Source organism: Homo sapiens, chromosome 3 (assembly GCF_000001405.40).
Source record: "Homo sapiens chromosome 3, GRCh38.p14 Primary Assembly".
Taxonomy (NCBI): Eukaryota; Metazoa; Chordata; class Mammalia; order Primates; family Hominidae; genus Homo; species Homo sapiens.
This window is the reverse complement of record NC_000003.12, coordinates 15855016-15877370: the sequence shown is the minus strand read 5'-3', so window position 1 is coordinate 15877370 and position 22355 is coordinate 15855016. Positions and strand designations below refer to the sequence as shown.

The 22355-nt window shown below is 39.8% G+C and overlaps 1 protein-coding gene, 1 long non-coding RNA gene and 1 other non-coding gene across 14 annotated transcripts in view, besides 3 other annotated features; 1 reads left to right on the top strand and 2 right to left on the bottom strand.

Moving 5' to 3' along the window:
• The window catches only part of LOC107986064 (uncharacterized), a 112662-nt gene extending 95405 nt beyond the window's left edge, over positions 1–17257 (bottom strand). Inside the window, exons 1-2 of the long non-coding RNA XR_007095831.1 lie at positions 17106–17257; positions 3260–3384 (exon numbers count right to left, since the gene is read on the bottom strand). This is a non-coding gene — a long non-coding RNA (uncharacterized LOC107986064). The remainder of the gene's footprint in view (positions 1–3259; positions 3385–17105) is intronic.
• MIR563 (microRNA 563) lies at positions 3522–3600 on the bottom strand. Its single transcript, NR_030289.1, has one exon. It is a non-coding gene; the product is annotated as a microRNA 563 (primary transcript).
• Positions 17240–17559: a silencer, noted in NCBI's record as "silent region_14112". NCBI's record gives its function as "represses an Ori minimal core promoter by ATAC-STARR-seq in GM12878 lymphoblastoid cells {active_cell/tissue: GM12878}" and the evidence as "EXISTENCE:reporter gene assay evidence [ECO:0000049][PMID:35858748]".
• ANKRD28 (ankyrin repeat domain 28) overlaps positions 17557–22355 on the top strand; it is a 192579-nt gene continuing 187780 nt past the window's right edge. For all 12 annotated transcript variants that reach the window (XR_007095653.1, XM_047447807.1, XM_011533542.4 and 9 more), the window contains exon 1: positions 17557–17994. Coding sequence is in view for 4 of the 12 variants with exons in the window: in XM_011533542.4 (XP_011531844.1) it covers positions 17968–17994 (27 nt within the window). In the remaining 8 variants the exon portion in view is untranslated. The remainder of the gene's footprint in view (positions 17995–22355) is intronic.
• Positions 17640–17919: a silencer, noted in NCBI's record as "silent region_14111". NCBI's record gives its function as "represses an Ori minimal core promoter by ATAC-STARR-seq in GM12878 lymphoblastoid cells {active_cell/tissue: GM12878}" and the evidence as "EXISTENCE:reporter gene assay evidence [ECO:0000049][PMID:35858748]".
• Positions 17980–18229: a silencer, noted in NCBI's record as "silent region_14110". NCBI's record gives its function as "represses an Ori minimal core promoter by ATAC-STARR-seq in GM12878 lymphoblastoid cells {active_cell/tissue: GM12878}" and the evidence as "EXISTENCE:reporter gene assay evidence [ECO:0000049][PMID:35858748]".

The following is a 22355-nucleotide window of genomic DNA, read 5'->3' as shown; positions in this document are numbered from 1 at the left end:
CTACTAAAAATACAAAAAATTAGCCAGGAGTGGTGGTGCGTGCCTGTAGTCCCAACTACTCAGGAGGCTGAGGCAGGGGAATCGCTTGAACCCAGAAGGTGGAGATTGCAATGAGCCGAGATCGCACCACTGCACTCCAGCCTGGTGACAGAGCCAGATTCAGTATCAAAAAAAAAAAAAAAAAAAAAAAAGTTAAACAATGGCATATCATACCATACATAATTTTCTGTGCCTGCTTTTTTTCATTCAACTTTATACCTTGGTGATTACTCTACGGCAGTTTACAGAGGTGTTCCTCATTCCTTTTCTATAGCTGCATATTACTTCATCATGTAGATGTTACATAACATATTCAACGAGTCCCCTGCTGATATACATTTGAATTGTTTAAAGTTTGTTGCCATTTTAGGTAGTATTGCAATGAATAGCCAATATGTCTCTTTGTGTTTTTGCCAGAGTATCTTTGGGATAGAATCCTAGAAGGAAGACTGCTGGGACAAAATATAATTGCATCATAATTTTGCTACAAATTGCAGAAGTGCTTCTTTTAAATGCAATGTATTTCTGGAAGTTTTATCATAAAAGAAATCCTGAAACAGATCCTATTTCAGTTATCTACTGCTATATAACAAATCACCCCCAAAAGTATGGCTTAAAACAAATCACCCCCAAAAGTATTATTTGTCATGATTGTGCAACTAAGGTGGGACTCCTCAAGAATGGCTTGTCTGTGCTTCATGGGGTGGCTGCTTCGTGACTCCTGAGGAAGCTGGGATAGTTTCGCTAGAGCTAGAGAATACAAGATGGCTTTATTCACATGTTTTGCACCTCACTTGCAGTGGCTGGAATAGTTGGGTGCTAGCTAGGCTTCTCTCTCTCCATGTGGTCTTACATCATCCAGAAGGCCAAGCTTCTTAAACATGGTGCCCAAATCTCAAGACAGCAAAACTGGAAGTTGGAAGGCCTCTTAAGGTCCAGGTCCCAAAGTTAGATTAACATCACTTCTACTGAATTCTATTAGCCAAAGCTAGTCACATGGCCATCTATATTCAAGTGGGGAGGAAACAGACTCCATCTCTTGTTGGGAAGAGCAATGTACATATACAAAGATGAACGAAATTGTTGATGGTCATCTTTGCAGACAATCTACCACAGATCCCAACTACATACATGCATTCTACAGACCATAAATATATGTCCTATTCTTACCTACTTGAGCATCAGCAGAACCTGTGGGAAGATTCCATGAAGGTGATATGAAGTGAAACACTTCTGCATATGGTGGTGTTAAAAGGGGACCAAAAGTGGAGGTTATGTCTACCAAGGAAAAGGGTAAAAGTCTTGCTTTTAGGCAGGGCACTTTATCATCTGTCTAGACAACTATAAACAGCTTTTATATTCCTTCATTCTATTTGCGTTTATTCAAGAATACTGTTTCAGACTGCAAGAGTACAGTGATGAACATAACAGACAAAATCCTAGCTCTTGTGGTATTTACATTCCAAATGGGGAAATACAGAACATGATAAGGGATAGAAAGACATGTAAGAATATCCTGTCCTTGAGGAAATTATAATGTTGTTGAAAGCGGGGGTGATAGGCAATCATTGCCTAGTTAGAGATAACAAGAAGACAAATACAAACTTTGTATAAATAGAGATAAACAGACACATATTAGAGCATCTGCTCTGCATAAGTAGCTACACCACCAGGAAGAAAGTCTGCAAAGGTCCAGAAAGTAACGAGGAAGAAGAGTTAGGAGAAGGAGGGATCACTGTGGCCTGGGAGAGTCAGGGAAGACTTAGGATGAGAGAGAGGCATAGTGGAACCAGAATCTTTCTTTGTGTATCTGATGACATACTGGCAAGTCCCAGGGGCTGCTGTGTGATTAGAGCTTCTCACCAGGATAGCTTCCTTCTAAGATGGCCTCCCACTACTTGCTGAGAGAGGAAGACAAAGTGGGTTTTTAAAACTGGCTGATTTGCCTGGTAAATAATGTACTTCTAGTCTATAGAATACTGTATTTTTCAAAGGCAAAAATATTCAAGGCTTAGTCCTTGCTGCTCATATCAACATGCTCTCCCTTGATGAGCTCACTCAGTCTTGTAGCTTTACATAGCATCTAAATGCCAATGACTCACAGGAGGATAATATCTTCAGTTCTGACATCTTGCCATACTCATATATCAACCATTTTATCTACATATCCATTTGGAGATCTAACAGGCACTGTAAGCTTCACATGGACAAAACCAACTGCTTGATTTTCCCTAGAAAAACTCTGCTCCTCTCCCAGTTTCCCTGTTAGTGGCACTACTACCACCAAATTACTCAGACCAAAGCAATGGAGTCTTTCTTGTTTTTTCTCTCACTCCGTATCCAATCAATCAGCTGTCGAACAACAGTTGAAGAACAACAGCTGAACGATCCTGTTTGTTCTATCTTTTGAATGTATCTCTCAAACTCCTAGCCTCAAGTTATCCTCCCACCTGGGCCTCCCAAAGCACCACCACACACAGCCTACTAGAATATATCTCAAACTCAATTACTGCTCAATACTTCTTCCCCTGCACCAGCCCATTATCAACACTCATCTCCTAACTGATCTCTTGCTTCTTCTCATGCTATTCTCACTCTATTCCCTACAAAACTGTCTGGGTAAACTTTTAAAGATAAAAATAAGGTCATTTAAAATCCCTGACTAAAATTCTTTAGAGAAAAAAGGAAATAAAATTAGAGGAAGAAAACATGACCAGAAAAGAAAGAAAGGAAAAAAAAACCTATAGTGGCTTATCACAGTAATTAAATTAAAATTCAAACTTCTACCCTTACAACTTTCCAGCCACACTGACCTTCCTTATGTTTCTTAAACATGCTGAATTTGTTGCTTCCTTGGGAATTTTACATTGCTCTTCCCCAGATCTTTGGCTGAAAATTCCTTATTTTCTACTTCTCAGCTCTCAGGGCATCTTACAGATACCTTTTCTGACTGTCCTACCTAAAGAAGTCCACAGCCAAAACTCACTAACCAAGGCACAGTGGATAATTGATAAATATAACAGACAAGGTCCTAACTCTTGTGGTACTTATTTTCTAAATGCGGGGAATGCAAAACATGGTAAGAGACATCTTGTTACTCTGTTTTATATTCTTCATAATGTTGATCATGCTCTGAAAAAATATCTTATTTATTCATTTTCTTGTTTATGTCTATCTTTGCCATTCAGTATATATTAACAAAAGGAGATAGGACGCATACCTTAGCTCTCTTGCTCTCCACAAAGCCACTAGTCCTTACAGTAGTAGTACCCAGCATACAGTTGGATCTCAAAGCATCACTGAATATGCTTGTACATATTCAAAAATGTAGGAGTAACATCACAGCTATAAAGGAAAAATTCATTATAGTGGAAAAACTGTTAATGAACCCCTTTACCCAAATAATATCCTTCCCAACCTTGACATCTAATCCAACCCCAGAATTTTCTGATATCAAGGGTTAGTGGACCCATTCCTTATATTGGCTACCAGGGAAACGTATGTCAACCTAATTACATCAGAGCAACACACATTTCCTAGAGGGCAACACACTTCTTTGCTTCCTGTAAAAATGTATTCAAAGTTGTGTTAAACAACATTGTTACAGTTACAGATTCTTGTCGTATTTTCTTTGTTTCTTTGACATAAGCAATCATGACCTAGCTAGAACCAAATAGAGATAACGGAAAGACAAACAAAAATTTAGGAAAGTGGACAAACACCAACACAGATTAGGCCATCTGCTCTGCATTATATGATCTAACACAAACAACAATGAACCTGACTTTACATTCTGATGCTGGACAAATTATGTAGTCCTTTGTGGTTCATGTTCTTCTGTCTGTAAAATCTGGACAGTCGTGCTTATTTATTCTCCCCAATTTCCGTGTGAAATAGCTATTATTTTATTTCATAGAATTATGAAATGTTATGCCCTGCAGAAGCTTGAGAATCATCTCATCTGTATCCAAATGTGGAAACTGAGGCCTAATGAGGTTAACTGATTTACCCAGGCTCACAGCTAATTACTGACAAAGCTGGAACTTATAATAGAAATCGGATTTTCTGACCCTTAGGCAAGTGGTATTTCTGCCTCACCATACTGCAATGTTTGCCTTACTGTTTCGTTTTTGATGGAGGAGTATATTATCTTCCAATTAGCATGTAATCCTTGAGGATGTGGTAAGTTGTTCTCCCCACAGTAATTAGTTGGCCATATGTAAATAAATATTTATTAAATAAAGGAATAGTTTGCCATCAGTCAATGGCACCTGCCACCCCTCTATGTTGCAATCATCTACTGACCTTTCAGTCATTTCCTCTCATTCATTCAAAATTTTAGCATACAGGTCCCTGTCTCTCCACTGTGACTTGTTATTCTTGGTGACTTCAACAAGCACTAAATGATACATCTGACACTCTGGTCATTCAGTTTCTTGACTCCTCATCTCTAATGATCTTTTTCTCCACCCCACCTTAGCTACCCACTCCCATGCTCATATACTATTACTCTAAAACCTTGATTTTAGGCATTCCATTATTTGACTACCTCCTTCTATCTTCCTAGTTCACTTATTCTAATACACTCTAACTCTTCTTTAATCCTAGCAGGAACTCTGATCCTTTGGCCTCATCAATTTTTCATGGGGCTTCCTTTCCTCACTGTCCTTTTTATCCAGCCTAGATTCCATGGTCCATGACTGTATTCATACTAATTAAGGGTTTGTCAGTGTACAGCCCCTAAGGCCCTTACCACATTCTTTCTCCATCATACTGTCCTAAAAAAAAACTCCAATCTTGGTTAAAGCCAACTCTCTGCGTGACCTTTCCCTGCACTTAAGCATGAAATGAACCTGGATAAAACAATCGCAATTGTGTTGACTGGTTAAATTTATGATCACACACTATAGGAGTGTCTTCAGCAGTACCCAATAATTCTACATTTCCTTGGCCAACCCTCTCCTTCTCTTCTAGGCAGCTCTATCTCTCTTTAAACCATATACTCTTGATGCCCACTCCTAAATTTTACCTGATACCTTCATCTATTGATTTGCTAGGGAAAAAAATAAAAGTAAGCAAAAAAGAGGTACTAGAATCTTTTCCAATAATCTATCTTCCCCACCCCTCACCCTCTACCATTTAAAATGGATGAGGTGTCCAAGCTCTTACTAAAGGCTAAACTCTGTTGAGAGACAATTCTCTAAGAGTCTCTTAAATTTCCTTGTTCCAGACTATGTAATCAAGGATTGAATGTTTCATAGCCTTGGAAGATAGAGATAGTGTCTCCCTCTGGAACAAACAGCAAGAATGTTTACTGCTCAAAATAATAAAAACAATGTCTCTAGAGCAAAGGGCACACACCTTTATTGCCCAATATAAAAGATTCGGGTTCCCTAAGTTCAGAGTTCCTCACTTGTAATGCAACTCAATGCATATGCGGGTGTCATCTGGCCCTCTTCACATTGATCTGGGGAACTGGGGTGTAGGGAACTGGTGGTGTGAGAAATCAAAGCCTTTGTCTTTGACCCAGGAGTTTCCCATTTGCTGAGCCTCCATGAAATAGTGGCAGGCTAACTTGTTAGCTTACAAATACAGTAAAATCTCAGACCCTTCAGAGTTCCTGACATACTTTGCTTCTGAACTACATCTCATTCCCTCCTGCCTTCTCAAGGACTTTGTGCCTGCAGGTATCTACTCTCTCTTGCATCACCAACTTTTCCCCCTTTTACCTTTCAATTACTCCTCAGTCTATACATATAATATCTCCCATCTTAAAAGACAAAAACAACTTCCCTTAGGCTTTTCATCTCTCTCCCTACTACTCCAAATCACTGCTGTCCTTAATTTTAACAAAACCCCTTGGAAGAGTTGTCTGTATTCATTTTTTCCACTTCTTCACTTCTTATAATGAGTTCTGTTCCAAGTCATTCCAATTAGATTTTTATTTATGCTATTTTCCCAAAATCCTTCCTAAGGTTGTCAACAAACCACATGGCCTAATCCAATGGTCAATTCTCATTTTCTTTTATAGGAATTAGCAGCACTCAACCAGTTGACCACTCTGTCTCTATTGAAATACATTCTCTCTTGGTTTCTGGTTTCTCTTATCCCAGTCTTCTTTGCTGGCTCTTCCTACTCTATTGAGAAGATCACGTGGAGTTTTTTTGGTGCTTTATTCCTCCTTCATTCTTGATTTTGGTAATTAGTAATGTTTCTCTTGTTTCCTTGGTCAGTCTAGTTAAGGGTTTGTCAATTTTGTTGATCTTTTGAAATAAAAAACTTTTAGGGATTTAAATTTTTTATCTATTGCTTTTCTACTCTAATATTTATTATTTTATTCCTTCTGCTTGTCTTGGGCTTAGCTTGCTCTTTGTTTTCTAGTTCCTTAAGGTGGAAGCTTACATTTTTTATTTGTCTTTTATTATTTTCTGATATAGGAATCAAAGTTATATTTATTTCTAAGTACTATTTTAGATATATCCCATAGATTTTGATGTTGTGTTTTTGTTTTCATTCAGTAAAACTTAATTTCCCTTGTGATTTCTTCAACTCATGGGTTATTTAGAAGTGTGTTGTTTAATTTCCAAATATTTGATGTTTTCTCAGGTTTCTTTCCCTTATAGATCTCTAAATTCCATTGTGGTCAGAGCACATGCTTTGTACAATCACAATCTTTTTAAAAATTTTACTGAGACTTGTTTTGGGCTCTATCACATAGTCTATCCTGGAGAATGTTACATGTGCACTTGAAAAGAATGAGTACTCTGAAGTCATTCAGTGGAGTGTTTTATAAATATCAGTTAATGATAGTGTTGCTAAAGTCTTCGTTTTATCAATTATTGAAAGTGGGGTACCGAAATCTTTTAAAAATAATTCTTATTGTGTATATTTAAAGCATATGATTTTGTGAAATACATATAGATAGTAAAATGGTTCCTATAGTGAAGTAAATTAACATATCCATCATCTCACATCGTGTGTGGCACTCACATTTTGTGTGGCAAGAGCAGCTACAGTCTACTCATTTAGCAAACATCTCCAAAGCAATACACAATTATCAACTATAGTCCTCATTTTGTACATTAGATCTCTAGACTTATTCATCCTACATTGTAGCATTTGAACTACATCTTCCATTTTCTCTACTTCCCACCTTCCTCCTAATAACCACTGTTTAGTCTGTATCTCTGTATACTTGAATTTTTTTAAAGATTCTGTATATTAATGAGATCATACAATATTTTTCTTTCTGTGTCTGGTTTATTTCTCTTAGCATAATATCTTCCTATCTTCCAGGTTCATCCATACTGTGGCAAACAGCAGGATCCCTCCTTTATTTTATTTTATTTATTTATTTTTTTAAGACAGTCTCGCTGTGTCACCCAGGCTGGAGTACAGTGGCACGACCTTCACTCACTACAACCTCTGCCTCTCAGGTTCAAGCGATTCTCCTGCCTCGGCCTCCCAAGTAGTTGGGTCTACAGATGCCCTGCACCACGCCCGGCTAATTTTTTTTTTGTATTTTTAGTAGAGACAGGAGTTTCACTATGTTGGCTGGGCTGGTCTTGAACTCCTGACCTTGTGATCTGCCCAGCTCAGCCGCCCAAAGTGCTGAGATTACAGGCATGAGCCACCGCGCCCGGCCAGGATTCCTCCTTTTTTAAGGCTGAATAATATTCCACTGTGTAAGTATATGTAACACATTTTCTTTATTCATTCATCCATTGACAGACACTTAGGCTGTTTCCAAATCTTGGCTGTTGTGAATAATGCCACAAAGAACATGGGAATGCAGATATCTTTGTGGGATTTCATTTGAGTATACACCCAGAAAGGGGATTTCTGGGTCATATGGTACTTCTATTTCTGTTTATGAACTTCTATACTGTTTTCCATAATGGCTGCACCAATCTACATTCCCACCAAAAGTGTACAAGGGTTCCCTTTTCTCCACACTCTTGCCAATACTTATCTCTTGTCTTTTTGATAACAGCTGTTCTAATTGACGTGAGGTGGTAACTCGTAGTAGCTTTGATTTGATTTCCCTGATTAGTGGTATTGAACATCTTTTCATATACCTGTTAGCCATGTTTGTCATCTTTGGAGAAACAGGTCCTTTGCCCATTTTTATATCAGCTTATATGTTTTCTTGCTATTGAATTGTGTAAGTTCTTTATAAAGTTTAGATATTAGCCCCTCGGCAGAGCTATGGTTTGTAAATTTTTTTTCCATCTGTAGGTTGCCTTTTCATTTTGTTAGTGGTTTCCTTTGCTGTACAGAAGCATTTTAGTTTGATATAGTTCCATGTATTTATTTTTGCTTTTGTACCCCAAGCTTTTGGTGTGATGTCCAAAAAATTATTGCCAAGGCCATGTCAAGAAGCTTTTTCCTTATGTTTTCTTCTAGGATTTTTATGGTTTCAGGTCTTATGTTCAGATCATTTACCCATTTTAAGCTGATTTTTGTGCATGGTATAAGGGTCCAATTTCATTTTTTCACATGTGAAAATCCAGTTTCCCCAGCACCATTTATTGAAGAGATCATCCCTTCCCCATTATGTCCTCTTGGTGCCCTTGTTGAAAATTAGTTAATCATGTATGTTTGGATTTGTTTCTGGACTATTCTGTTCCACTGGTCTATGTATCTATCTTTATGCCAGTACTATACTATTTTCATTACTATAGCTTTGTAATATAATTTTAAATCAGGAAGTGTGATGCCTCCAGCTTTTTCTCTTTTTCTTTTAGGATTTTTTTCTATTTTAGGATTGTTTTCTATTTCTATAAAGAAATATATTTGTTTTATATATATTTCTATAAAACAAATTTTAGGATTGTTTTCTATTTCTATGAAGAATGCCATCAGGATTTTGATAGAGATTGCATTAAATATGTATATTGCTTTGAATAGTATGAACATTTTAACAATATTCATTCTTCTGATTCACATGCATAAGATATCTTTCCTTTTATTTGTGTCTTCTTCAGTTTCTTTCATGCTGTTTTATAGTTTTCGGTGTATAAGTCTTTCACCTCTTTGGTTAAATTTATTCCTAAGTACTTTTTAATGATATTATAAATGAGATTTTTAAAATGAAATCTCTACTACTGTTGAATTTGCTTCATCCATTTATTTTGGAGGTCAGTTCTTATATAATATTTATTATTCTAGATGTATTGACCCCTTATCAAAATGTCTCCAGTAATATTTCTTAAGTTTAGTTTACTATTTTGATATTAATGTAGCCACTCCAGATCTCTTATGGTTACTGTTTGCATAATGTATCTTTTCCATCTTTCACTTTCAACCTACTTATGTCCTTGAATCTCAGGTGTATATCTTGTTTTATTCAGTCTGATAATATCTGCCTTTTAGTGGAGATGTCTAGTTCATTCATAACCAATGTACTTATTGATAAAGAATTTCTTTTACCATTCTGAGTTATTTTCATTGTGTCATGTCTTTTTTTATTCCAATGTGGCAATATAATTATTAAAATTTAAGTTTATATAAAACGCCAACATATTTGGAGACTAATGATTTCTCACTAAAGAAAACATGCAAAATACAGATAAATGAAGAAATGACTCATACTTCTGTCATTCAAACATAATTTCATTTAATACTATGGTATACTGTCTTCTGGTCTTTAGTTTTTTTCTATTCATAGATGTTTGCTTATTTCTGTTTATTTTTTACAGAGTTTATATTATACTATGTATACAACTGTTGCATATTTTTCTTATGTAGTCTATTATTTATATTTTTCATCTACTTCAACCACAGAAAGGATGTCAGCAGCAGAGAGATACTTGTAGTAGTTAAGCAGAGATCCTCTTGAAAAAGCTTTTGAATAAATGAAATGGTTCTGAATGGCCCTATTTTTAAAATAACTGTACTTGGATGTCAGAGGGTTGGGCTGAAATAAAAGGTATCTGAGAAGCATTTGCTGCATCAGGAATCTCGGTGTTAATACACTTGATGTTAGCCTCTATTTATGAAACAAAACGAAGAAAGGTCATGTTTGGTAAAATTCACCTCTAAAATGGCTGGACTTCGTGTCTTGGGGGAGTGGTGTGAACTATTGATTATATATGTGTGTGTGCATATATTCTCACATAATATCAAGCTTATTGATTTTATGGCATTCAACCCTTTTGTCTGTTTCTCTCGCGGCTCACTGCAACCTCCACCTCCTGGGTTCAAGTGATCCTTCTTCCTCAGCCTCCAGCTGGGATTACAGGCATGTGCCACTACACCCAGCTAATTTTTATACTTTTAGTAGAGATGGGGTTTTGCCATGTCAGTCAGGCTGGTCTTGAACTCCTGACCTCAAGTGATCTGCTAGCCTTGGCTTCCCAAAGTGCTAGGATTACAGGCATAAGCCACCGCGCCTGGTCTGTTTTTAATGGGGCATTTGCCAATTACTCTATGTAGTTTCAGCAAATTTTGCTTAATGTGGTTAAATGCACACAAGTTCATGACTACATGGTGGCTGTTTATCTTTTTGGTGGACAGTTCCTTTTATGATGACTACACATTACTTGTTAATTCCTATCAATCCTTCTTTCCTTAAATTCTTATGCCTGATATGTTATTAGATGAATAATATTTTGATTAATATTTTCTTGGTATACAGTTCTTTTTAAATCCTTTCCCTAAACTTTTGCAATATGTTTTAACCATATATCTTGCAAATAGCTGGTTTTTAAAAAAACTCAGTCTGAATGTGTTTGTTGTTTTTTTATAGACAGATCAAATCCATTTATATTTATTGTGATTAACAATATCCTTGGACTTCTTTGTACAATCTCATTTGAGTTTCCCATTTATCATACCGTTAATTTGCCTCTCTTTATCTCTTTTGCCTACTATTTCATTAACTAAGTTTTCTCTAGGCCATTTTTTTTTTCTCTATAGGTTTGGAAGTTCCACATACTAGTTTATTTTGGTGAATACCTTTAAATGTTTAACATGTGTATCAGTAATGGATTGTGTTATAGTCATGGTTGCCATAATCTTTTAAATAACCTTTCTATATTTGGGATACTTTTCTGATTATAGGTCCTACCTACCCAGGATAGAATTGCGAACTCAAATTTCCTGCCTCTCTTGCGGTTAGAATGCAGGCCTGTGACATTGGCTCTACTTACTAGATGTACCCATGGAAATGTAAGGAATGTGAGGATACAAGCTCTGCAGACAGCTACTACTCTTCTGGCTACAAGATCAAGTTCCAGACACAGAATTGACACTGATCCTGGGAGCAGGAGCAAATGAAGAAAAGTCGAGCTCCTGATATTTGGAGCTTGATGGGAACAGCATGCCAGTTAGTTCTGCCATGGTTTTGGGCATTTTTCTAGAAGTTTAGCCCAGGATTGTTTTTCCAGCTCTCTCAATAATTTTGTTATAAATTTTTAAAATTCCTGCATGGATTCTGTTGTTTACAACAAAGAACTTTAACCAGTATAACTTGTCAAAGTCTAAGGTGAAGGAATATTTCATTGCCTTTGAATAAAATAACTCCAGAATATTTTAGCTCAGAACTCCCTCCTACCATCATCTACCATATTTTAATAGATATTTTAATTTCACCTGGTTTTAAAATTCTAAAATACTAGCACTTAAAAACATACTACTGATTCATATTAACCAAGATACTTGCTAATTTGTTTATTTTTTTCTTCAGGTTTCAGCTTTTTTCTTGTTGCAGTATATTTCCTAGGACTTCTTTGAATGAGTATGTGTGCATCCTAAATTTTGAAAATGTGTTTATTTTGTCCTTTCTCTTGAAAGATGGTTTAGCTAGGTATAGAATTCTAGTTTCTCAGTTTTGGTCTCTTAATACTTTGAAAATATTTTCCATCATCTTCTGTCACAACTGTTGGTGATAAATCTGCTGACAGGATGATAGTCATTTCTCTTAGGGTAATTTGACTTTTCTCAGTGGTAACTTTTAACATAATTTTGTTATGTTTGGTATTCTTTAATTTCATTACTATGTACAGGTCTCAATTTCTAAAATTTATTCTGCTTGAGACAATGTACTCCTTTGATCTGACAACTCACATTTTTCAAGTCTGAAAATTTCTCAGACATCATCTCTGGAGATCACCTCTCCTTCCTTCTCTCCTCCTGAAACTCTTTTAAATATATGTTGGACCTTCTACTTCCAGCCTCTGGGTCTCTGAACTTACCTTTGCTGCCTTTTCTTTTTCTTTCTTTCTTTTTTTTTGAGATGCAGTCTTGCTCTGTCATCCTGGCTGGAATGCACTGGCATAATCAGAGCTCACTGCTCAGCCTTGAAGTTCTGGGCTCAAGGGATCCTCCCACTTCAGCCTCCCAAGCAGCTAGGATTATGGATATATGCCACCATGCCCAGGTAACTTTTATTCTTAGTAGAGATGAGGTCTTGCTACGCTGCTCAGGCTGGTCTTGAACTCCTCACTTTAAGCAGTCCTCCTTCCTTGGCCTCCCAAAGTGCTGGGATTACAGGTGTGAGCCACTGTGCTTCGCCCTTTTGCTGCTTTGTTAGTCTGTTATATGCATTTTCATAAGATAGGGATTATCTGGCTAAAAAGCCTTAAATATTTATCTATTTCCTACCACATAAGCTGCTCTTCTGGCTTTCAAGGTCCTTATGCATCCAGGCTCTGCCATTGATTAGTTGGGTAACTTTGGGAACACACAACTTCTTTGGGCTCCAGTTCCCAACATAAAAAGGTTAATAAAAAATTTAAATGAAGCAAGCATATAAGGTGCTGTGCAAGTGCCCAACAGTAAAAATAGTAGTAGAACAGTAAATAAAACGTGGTGTGGCTGCCTAGCTCACAGCAAATACCCTGGCGGTCACATCTGTATAACATCTTTCCTTCTATCATTTTGGACATGAATTCTGAATGGAGATTGTCATCAGCCCCAAGACCTTGCAGTAGTGATTGGCTGAGGCATGAGCACATGAGTCTAGTCCAGCCAATTAGTCATTACTTCAGATGTCTCAGGAATATTGACTCTTTTCTTTTTATCACTGCAGAGTACTTAAAATGTGTCAGTGGAGCTACTGGCTGTAGTAATAGAGAAAAAGAAAGAGACGTGGAAAACAAGAGAGAAAAATTGATTACTGGCAACAATTAAGTTCCTGGCCCCATTGGCTTCGATGATACGGTTTTTTTTGGTGTTAAGAATTTCCCTAATATGTAAATATTTCATTATAAGCAGGAATAGCCTTATAATGAAGATTTTAAAAATATTAGAATGTGAATATGCACCTTATTTTTGCTCAATTGCATAGTTTTTTTTTTTTTTTTTTTTTTTTGAGACAGAGTCTCACTGTGTCACACAGGCTAGAGTGCAGTGGCACGATCTCAGCTCACTACAGCCTCTGCCTCCCAGGTTCAAGCAATTCTCGTGCCTCAGCCTCCTGAGTAGCTGGGATTACAGGCATGCGCCACCACACCCAGCTCATTTTTGTATTTTTAGTAGAGACAGGGTTTCGCCATGTTGGCCAGGCTGGTCTCAAACTCCTGGCCTCAAGTTATCTGCCCACCTTGGCCTCCCAAAGTGCTGGAATCACAGACATGAGCTACTGCACCTGGCCGTATAGACTTTTTTTTCCTATTTTTTTCAGCAGCTATGAAAATGTACAAGGCATCTTCAAAAAGTTCATGGAAAATGCATATTATGAAAAAATATGCATGGATTTTAATTTTTCCTTTTTTTTTCTTTTTGAGACAGAGTCTTGCTCCATTGTCCAGGCTGGAGTGCCATCTTGGCTCACTGCAACTTCTGCCTCCCAGGCTGAAGTGATTCTTGTGCCTCAGCCACCCAAATTATTGGTATTACAGGCACGCACCACCACATCTGGCTAATTTTTGTATTTTTAGTAGAAACAGGCTTTGGCCACATTGGCCAGGCTGGTCTCAAATTCCTGGGCTCAAGTGATCCACCTGTCTTGGCCTCCCAAAGTGCTGGGATTACAGCCATGAGCCACTGTGTCTCGCTGGATTTCAATTTTTTTTCACCAACATAAACTTATATTAACTTGTTATAATGTATCTGAACAGGATACAGTTTGCAGCACTAAGAAGGATAAGACGTCAGTTTGAAAAGAGCCCGTATCAGAACAACATGAATTCTGTTAAAATTGAGGCAAGAACAAACCTCAAGTTTATGGTGAAGCTTGGGTGGAAGAATGGTGAAATCATTGATGCTTTATGAATAGTTTATGGGGACAATGCCCCCTGCCCCCCAAAATAAGCAGTTTACAAATGGATAACTCATTTGAAGAAGGGACAAGACGATGTCAAACATAAAGCCCACAGTGGCAGACCATCCACATCAATTTGTGAGGAAAATATCTTGTTTGTATCCTAATTGAAGAAGACTGACGATTAACCGCACAAACAAGAGCCAACACCACAGACATCTCAATTGGTTAAGCTTACATAATTCTGACTGAAAAATTAAAGTTGAGCAAACTTTCAACTCAATGGGTGCCCAAACCATTGGGCCCAGATCAGTTTCAGGCAAGAGAAAGGCTGTCAATAGAAATTTTAAACAAGTAGGGTCAAGACCCTAAAACACTCGTACACTTCTTCAAAGAATTCTAACAGATGAAACATGGCCTTACTATTATGATCCTGAAGACAAAGCACAATCAAAGCAATGGCTACCAACAGGTGGAAGGGTCCAGCCAAAGCAAAAGCAAATCAGTCAAGAACAAAGGTCTTGGCAACAGTCTTTTGGGATGTTCAAGAGATTTTGCTTGACTTTCTGGAGGGACAATGAATGATAACATCTGCTTATTATGAAAGTATTTTTGAGAAAGTTAGTAAAAGCTTTAGCAGGAAAATGTTCAATAAAGCTTCACTAGAGAGTCCTTCTCCAACATAATGCTCCTGCTCATTCCTCTCATCAAACAAAGGCAATTTTGTTAGGATTTTGATGGAAACCCGTTAGGCATCCACCTCATACTCCTAATTTGGCTCCTTCTGACTTATTTTTGTTTCCTAATCTTAACAATTCTTTAAAAGGCATGCATTTTTCTTCTGTTATTAACATTACATTATTACTGTAAAAAAGACTGCATTGACATGAATTCCCAGGACCCTCGGTTCTTTAAGGATGAACTAAATGGCTGGTATCATTGCTTATCATCTTGAACTTGACAAATCGTATGTTGAGAAATAAAGTTTATATTTCAATTTTAACCTTTAATTCTATTTCCCACAAACATTTGAAGTACCCTGTAATTGCTGTCATAATAATAATATAGTGTAATGGTCCTTCAGAGTTTTCCACAGCCTTTCATATCACTATCTTATCTGATGGTGTGAGATGAGTAGGCCAGGAAATGTTAAGCTTAGTTTTTTTATGAATGTTGAAACTGAGACACAGAGAAGTTAAATGGTGCTCATGGTGCAGAAGGGTGAGAACCCAGCTAGGTGTGAAGCATCATCTATAAGGAGAGCTCCATGCCTACTATAATGCAGATGGTACATCATAAAACATTTTCATTAATTACTGTTAATTAGAAAATTTCAAAAGAGTCCTGGAAAGTTTCATTAGCTTCAATCACAAAATCTATTAAAATGCATATTTAGTCCATAAATTCATACTCTCAAACACACTTACATTCTCCCAAAAAATCATCTTTGCCATGTTCCTAATCAGGTTCTCATTGTGTTTTTAAATTCTAGAAATTTAACCTAGAGGAGAGATTATTTGGTGGGAAGAGGAGGGCTATATTAATTCCTGGCTCAACATCCATAGTGCTTAACAGGCTTACTTATAAATGAGGGTAAATCCTAACACTCCTAGGCCAAGATAGAACACGACTGGATATGGCACATTGGTAATTATTTACAAAGCTAACTTGTAATCACAAAGTACTGTAGTAATATTATCACAACATCTTTGTTTTGGAGAACTCAAGTGCTTTCACGACATTAACTCATTCACCCTCACTGAACTGATAAGGAGGGGTTGGGTGACAAATAGTATCTCTATTTTATCTGCTGGAGTTGAAATAAAGGGTAAAGGAGCTACTGAAGAGAATGCAAAGCAAGAGCAGTTTGATTTCCTTTTTAGCCTCATTATGACGGTTAGATCACAGTTATGAGAATTCCTCCATTTTAAGTAGAAAATATCATGACGAGGGACATAATTTTAGGTAAGAAATTGTTTCAATGGAACCATAGCATGGATATCTCAAAGAATATTGGAAGGGTCGTACTATCAGTTAATCAGGTGTGTTTTTTTATCTTGCACTCTATTTTCTTTTTTTTTTTTTTTTTTGCGTGGCTAAATCTAAGTTTTTTGTTATAAGTGCAGCATTACAATAATCTGATAGTCCTGACGAAGATCTCCATTTCTCTAGACTGCCATTAGGCTCGAATCGATTCTCTAAAGTCCATCCCAAGAGACACAACTGATGTAGTGGGTAGAAGAGACTTTTAAAAACCGACCCTGACGTCACACGTTTGTGTTTTAACCATCTGCACCTTTTATAAACCAGAGGCTGGAGCCGCCCGGGCGGACAGACCCAGGCGCACAACAATCTTCTCCCACACGAGCCTGGAATGGCAACAGCGTGCGGCTGGCTAAGAAAGAAAAGCCGTTTCAGAGCTGCGGGGTGGCGTGGGGGTGTGTGTGGCAGGATGAGGGAGTCATTCCTCTTCTCCTCCATCCAAGGATGCTATTTATTAGAAATCCTGCACATCTTTTTTTTTGTTTGTTTAAGAAAATTGATTTCTCTCGAGTGGGAGGCAAAATGCTTCAGATGCGAAAGGGGTGGAGGCAGCAAGCCTGGCTGGGGAGCTTTCAAGGGAAAACCACACAGCTTAGCTTCGGATTGGGACTACGGGCAGAAAAACGATTGGGCGTCCACAACCTGTTCGGCTGCGAAGACGACGCCCTTCCGTCCAGAGTGCCAGCATCACCCCCGCCCCTCACCCGGTCTCGGCCTGCAGCCCCCGGGGAGGACAGCAGCGCCCCCCATTCCGTGACCACCTCTCATCCCACTCCTTGGCTCCCCACCCTCCCCAAACCCAGGGGCACATTCTCACGCTTTCTCCACGTGCAAGTCCGGCTCGCCCATCGCCACTCGCCGCAGCCCCCAGGTGCCCACCCCTTCCAGCCCTTCCGGTCCCTCACCCAGCTCCTTAGTCTTGCCCTGGCTGAGGGAGGCGTCCGCGCTCCACCTCCACGTGCGAGTCCCGGGCCGTTCCCCACCTCCCCACGCCACCTCCGCCCCGGACTCCGCCTACCACGCCTGAGGCGGCAGCGCCTGGGAGCCGGGACACCTGGCCGCCCTCCCCCGGCCCGCACCCCTGCCGACTCCCCCGCCCCGCCCGAGCCGCGGCCCCGCGCCCACCCTTGCGGCTTCCTCCGCATGCCCCTCCCGTCGCGGTAGGCGGGGGGGTCACCAGCGAGCGCGGCGGCGTGGCCAATGGGCGCTCGGCTTACTCTGGCCTCTCCCCCGCGCGGCCGCCAATCGCGGCGGGCGGTGGTGGTAATATTGTGGAGTTTGGATGCCGCCGCTGCCGCGGGCTGGAACGGCGCGGCCGCGGGGGCTGCCAGGGTATTTCGGGAAGGGGGCGTGAGGAGGCGGCGGCGGCAGCGGCGGGTAGGGCAGGCAGCAGAGGGAAGGAGAAAGAAAGGAAGGAAGAGGGCGGGGAGTCCTCAGAGGAGGAGGCGGGACCGGCCGGGCACCTCACCTCTCGGCGGCGGCGGCGGCGGCGGCGGCGGCGGGCGGCCGGGGAGGCGGCGCCGCCCCCTGCCCGCAGGTCTTCTCAGCGCAGTCGGCCGCGGACCCGCTGGTCCCGGGCAGCGGCCAAGGCTACTGGGGCGGGAGCAGTGGGCCGGTCGGCGGCGGCAGCGGCAGCGGCGGAGGAGGAGGAGGCTGGAGTGGGCGCGGAGGCGACCGCCATGGCGTTCCTCAAACTCCGTGACCAGGTAGGTGAGGGGCTGCAGGGCGGGATCGCGCCGTCCGGGAAGGAAGGGAAGCAGGGCGGACCGGCGGTGTGGGCCGCTGGGACGCCCGCTCGGCGGGGTGGTTGCGAGGGAAACGGGGGTCCTGCCCCGGGGACCTGCGCGAGACGGCGGGCCGGGGTCCGCGGGCGACCCGCCTGTCAGAGCTGCCGGGGCCTGGGTGAAGCCCACGTGCCGACGGGGGTCTAGCCGCTGCAGCAAGAGGGGCGGGTTCCACGCTCACCGCCCTCGCGTCGGGCGAGCTGCCGGGCAATCGCTTCCTCTTTCCTGCCAGGTGAGGCTCGGGCCTAACAGGTGGCTTCCCCGCTGCCGGGCGGGAGCGGTACTGGCGGCCGTGACCCAGGGTCACGACCTTGTTCTGTTTGCTTGGCTGGGTAGTGCGAGGGACTCTCTCTCCGGGTTAAAGGCAATTGATTCCTCTTAGCGACTAGTTACTCAATGCAAGTTTCCAGACTTGTTTTCTTTTGACATTTTGTGCACCATCTTGTTACTTTTCTTGACTTATGAAGAGCTGGTCAAAGAATACAAGTCAAAATGACTTGTAATTCTCTGGAACTGAAAAACTACTTTGTATCTAGGAACGAAATCGCAACTGTATCTGAATGTTTTGTACACCTAAACATTTGGAAAGATGGGTAATAAGGCTTTTGAAGGATCCGGACGCTGCCAAACATTTTCCCCCTCTTTTAAGGAAAAGGAAAATTAATGTGTGACATTTACACATTAATTTGTCGCAGGACACTTACTAGTGTTGACAACTTATTTTTGCCATTGTTTTCCTGAACAGAAGATGTTGAACAGATTTGAAGGGAAAATAACTTGGATGTTTTGGAAAACTATTTTGAAAGTGAGCACCCCGTTTGCGAAAACAATGGGGAAGAACCTGAGACTATTTTTTATATTACTTAATAAAGATTGCACCTTAAATTCTGAATCTAATATCAAGAATTCTCATTTCATAAGTGAATTTTATGTTTAGGCTGATCGCAGACCTTGTGTATCATTAGGTATCAGAATGGTCTTGCCTGGTGTTAACATCAGGTCATGATACTTTGAAAAACTACGGTTTAGTCAATACAGTTTATACCTTGTATTTCAAATTATACAACTGTTCTGTCCTATAAGAGAGCCACTAGCCACATGTAGCAATTTAATTGAAATTAAACCAAGTTCCATAGTTTTGCTAGCCACATTTTAAGTGCTCAGTAGACATATGTAGCTATTGGCTATTGTATTGGATAGGACAGACATAGAACATTTATCTCATTTCAGATAGTTCTACTGGACAGCAGTGTTAGAGAATAGCAGGTAAAGCACAGTTATAGCAGGAACCATTTCTGCTAATTCCAGTACAGTCCGTGCATCTTATACTCTTAACAGTGTGAAACTCGAGATCTGGGTTTTCCAGTAACCTTTACCAGTCAAATGGCACTTTGTGCTTCCATTGTTAATGGTTGAAGTAATGACTGATCGATGTTTTCCTTTGTTTCTAGTCCTGCATTTTTGACAAAGTTGTTTTTGTGATTTAGATTACTATGTGCATTAGAAATTTGGTGAACTTTTAGGAGAGACTCATATTTGATTCACCATTAGGTTTTAACAGAAACAGGATTGTGTTTTTCAGGATTGTGTTAAGCAAAAGTGCAACTGGATTTTATTTTGGAATTGCAGTTGTGAGAAAATTGTGATGCCACTCCAGTCTTATGTATATCCATTAATCTTCAGTGGTAATATTGAACTTTAAAATGCCACTTGCGGCCAGGCGCGGTGGCTCACGCCTGTAATCCCAACACTTTGAGAGGCCGAGGCAGGCGGATCACTTGAGGTTAGGAGTTCAAGACCAGCCTGGCCAACATGGTGAAACCCCGTTTCTCTTAAAAATACAAAAATTAGTCTGGTGTGGTGGCACGCACCTGTAATCCCAGCTACTCTGGAGGCTGCGACAGGAGAATCGATTGAACCCGGGAGACAGAGGTTGCAGTGAGCGGAGGTTGCACCACTGCACTCCAGCCTGGGCGACAGAGCGAGACTCCATCCCAAAAATAAATAAATAAATGTCACTTGTAAACCTAATGGCTCAGGGAGAACGAACATTGAGGTTTTCCTCTAAACTACTGAGTAATTGGCTCATCTGGTCTCTCTTGGAAGACTTTGAGAAATAAGTTTGGTTTTGCCTAGTTTAAAGGGAATAGCTGTTTTTAGAGGGCATCTTATATGTTGTTTTATTAGCCATTGGAATTGATGGTAAAAATGAAATAGAAAGCAAATACTCTTAAACTTTCCCGTCTACAGGAAAAGCAGGTCAGCTAGATTATTTTGTTTGGAGTAATGAAGAAGATACGGGTAAGGACATACAGACTTCTAAAGCTGGATGGTACTTGCCATAGCTTTTAGCTCAAAAGCCTTATATACACTTGACATAGGAAGTAGTAGAATGTACTTTTTTAGGTCTGTTTCGCTGTTCACCTTGTATTTTGTTTTCTTTTGGCTTTGTAAACTACAGTTTAATACATATAAGCTACAAATGCAAAAGGGTTGTTTTTCTTTGTGCATTTAAGCATCAGGAGGGTTCTAGATGGTTTAAACATAAAATCAGTAAGTAAAGCAATTTGTTCTCATAGCCAGTCAATTTGAATAAGATAATTTTCTCTCATTTTGTGCCACCACCTAATTATGGGGGTAAGAAGTTATTACTGCATTGCTTTCTGACTGTGAGTAGATGAAAATGATTTTTAATTGTAAACTGAAAATAATTTTTTTTCTGTTTATAGGAATGGACACATTTTTTCCTTGAATTTTCACTTTAGTTTGAATAAATTTGTGACAATTGCAGGGTTTTTTCTAACAGATATCAGTGTTACAGTTTTTATTCTTGCAGTTGGTATGTTAAAATGTAATCATCCACAATTACATTTTAATTTATCAGCAGTACACCCTAGTAAGAAGGGTAGAAGATCATTGTTTAGGGATCACAGACTCACAACCAGTAAGCTAAATGGTAATTGACATTGGGCTTCAGTGTTTAGAAGACAACAGGGAGTAGTGGACATCATGGCAAATAAGAACAACAAGTATGTTAGTGGCTGCCTAGCTTCAAGCCATTGTTGCAGTGCTGGTGTGCCTAGCATTTTTAGAACTCCATTTTTTTTTTGGAAGCCAGAAATCCAGATTGCTAGACAAAACCTCTCTCTACAGGTATTTGTAAACGTTGGCAAGTCGGTAGCTACCGTTGACAACAATTAATGCTTTGGTTTTAAAAAGGGACTAGTAAGGAACCAGTTTATAACTGCTGGTTTAGATCAGTATGAAAAAACAAAACTACAAAATAAGATTCCCGTTAAATACAGTTTTCTTCTAGATAAAACAGCCAGTGTGGTCAAAACACTTTTTAAAAATTGCGATAAAGCCCACATACCATAAAGTTCACCCTCTTAAAGGGTACAGTTGAGTGGTTTTTAGTATGTTCACCAAACTGGGCAAACCATTATCACCATCCACTTCCGAAATATTTTTATCATTTCCAAAAAGAAACCCCATACCCATTAGCTGTACCTTTCATTTCCTCCTTCTCCCAGCCCTGGCAGCCACTAATCTACTTTCTGTCTCTGAATTTGCCTATTCTGGATATCTCAGATAAATGGAATCATACAATATATGGCCTTTTGTGTCTCATTCACTTAGCATATTTTTAAGGTTCTTCCATGTTGTGCACGAATCTGTTGGTCATAAATTTTTGTATCATGTTTAGGAATTCCTAAAAGAAGTTCCTGTACTCAGGTCATCTCACTGCCTTCCGTGGTATGCATATGTGTAATCTGGGATAGTATTTATTTCTGTTTTTGGAATTTGTTTTATGAACTTTGTTTGCAGCAGTACTAAAGGGTAATAGCTTTTACATTTGGATCATTTTTGTGTAGGAGCCATCTTTGTGTGCTCCCTTATGGGTTAATGGTGAGGACTGATATGTTTAAGGTGTTGGGTTTTTTTTTGTTTTGTTTTGTTTTTTTAAACAGGGTTGGCATATATCAGTGAGAAAGGTGTTGGATGGATGTGAGTAACTTAACCACTATTTTGGATAGTTAATAAGTTCTTATTTGATCAAGTACACACTAAGAGTGGAACATTGTTTGAGGGGAAAAAACACACACAAAAAATGACGGTTCTTGGGAAATCTTACAATAGGGGATACAGAATGCATGAAATACTTGAAGAAGAACACTGATGCCCAGATATTCAGGTACTCTATGTAGGAGGTGTCTTCCTGTTTTGTTTTTGTTTTTGTTTTTGTTTTTTGAGACGGAGTCTTGCTCTGTCACCAGGCTGGA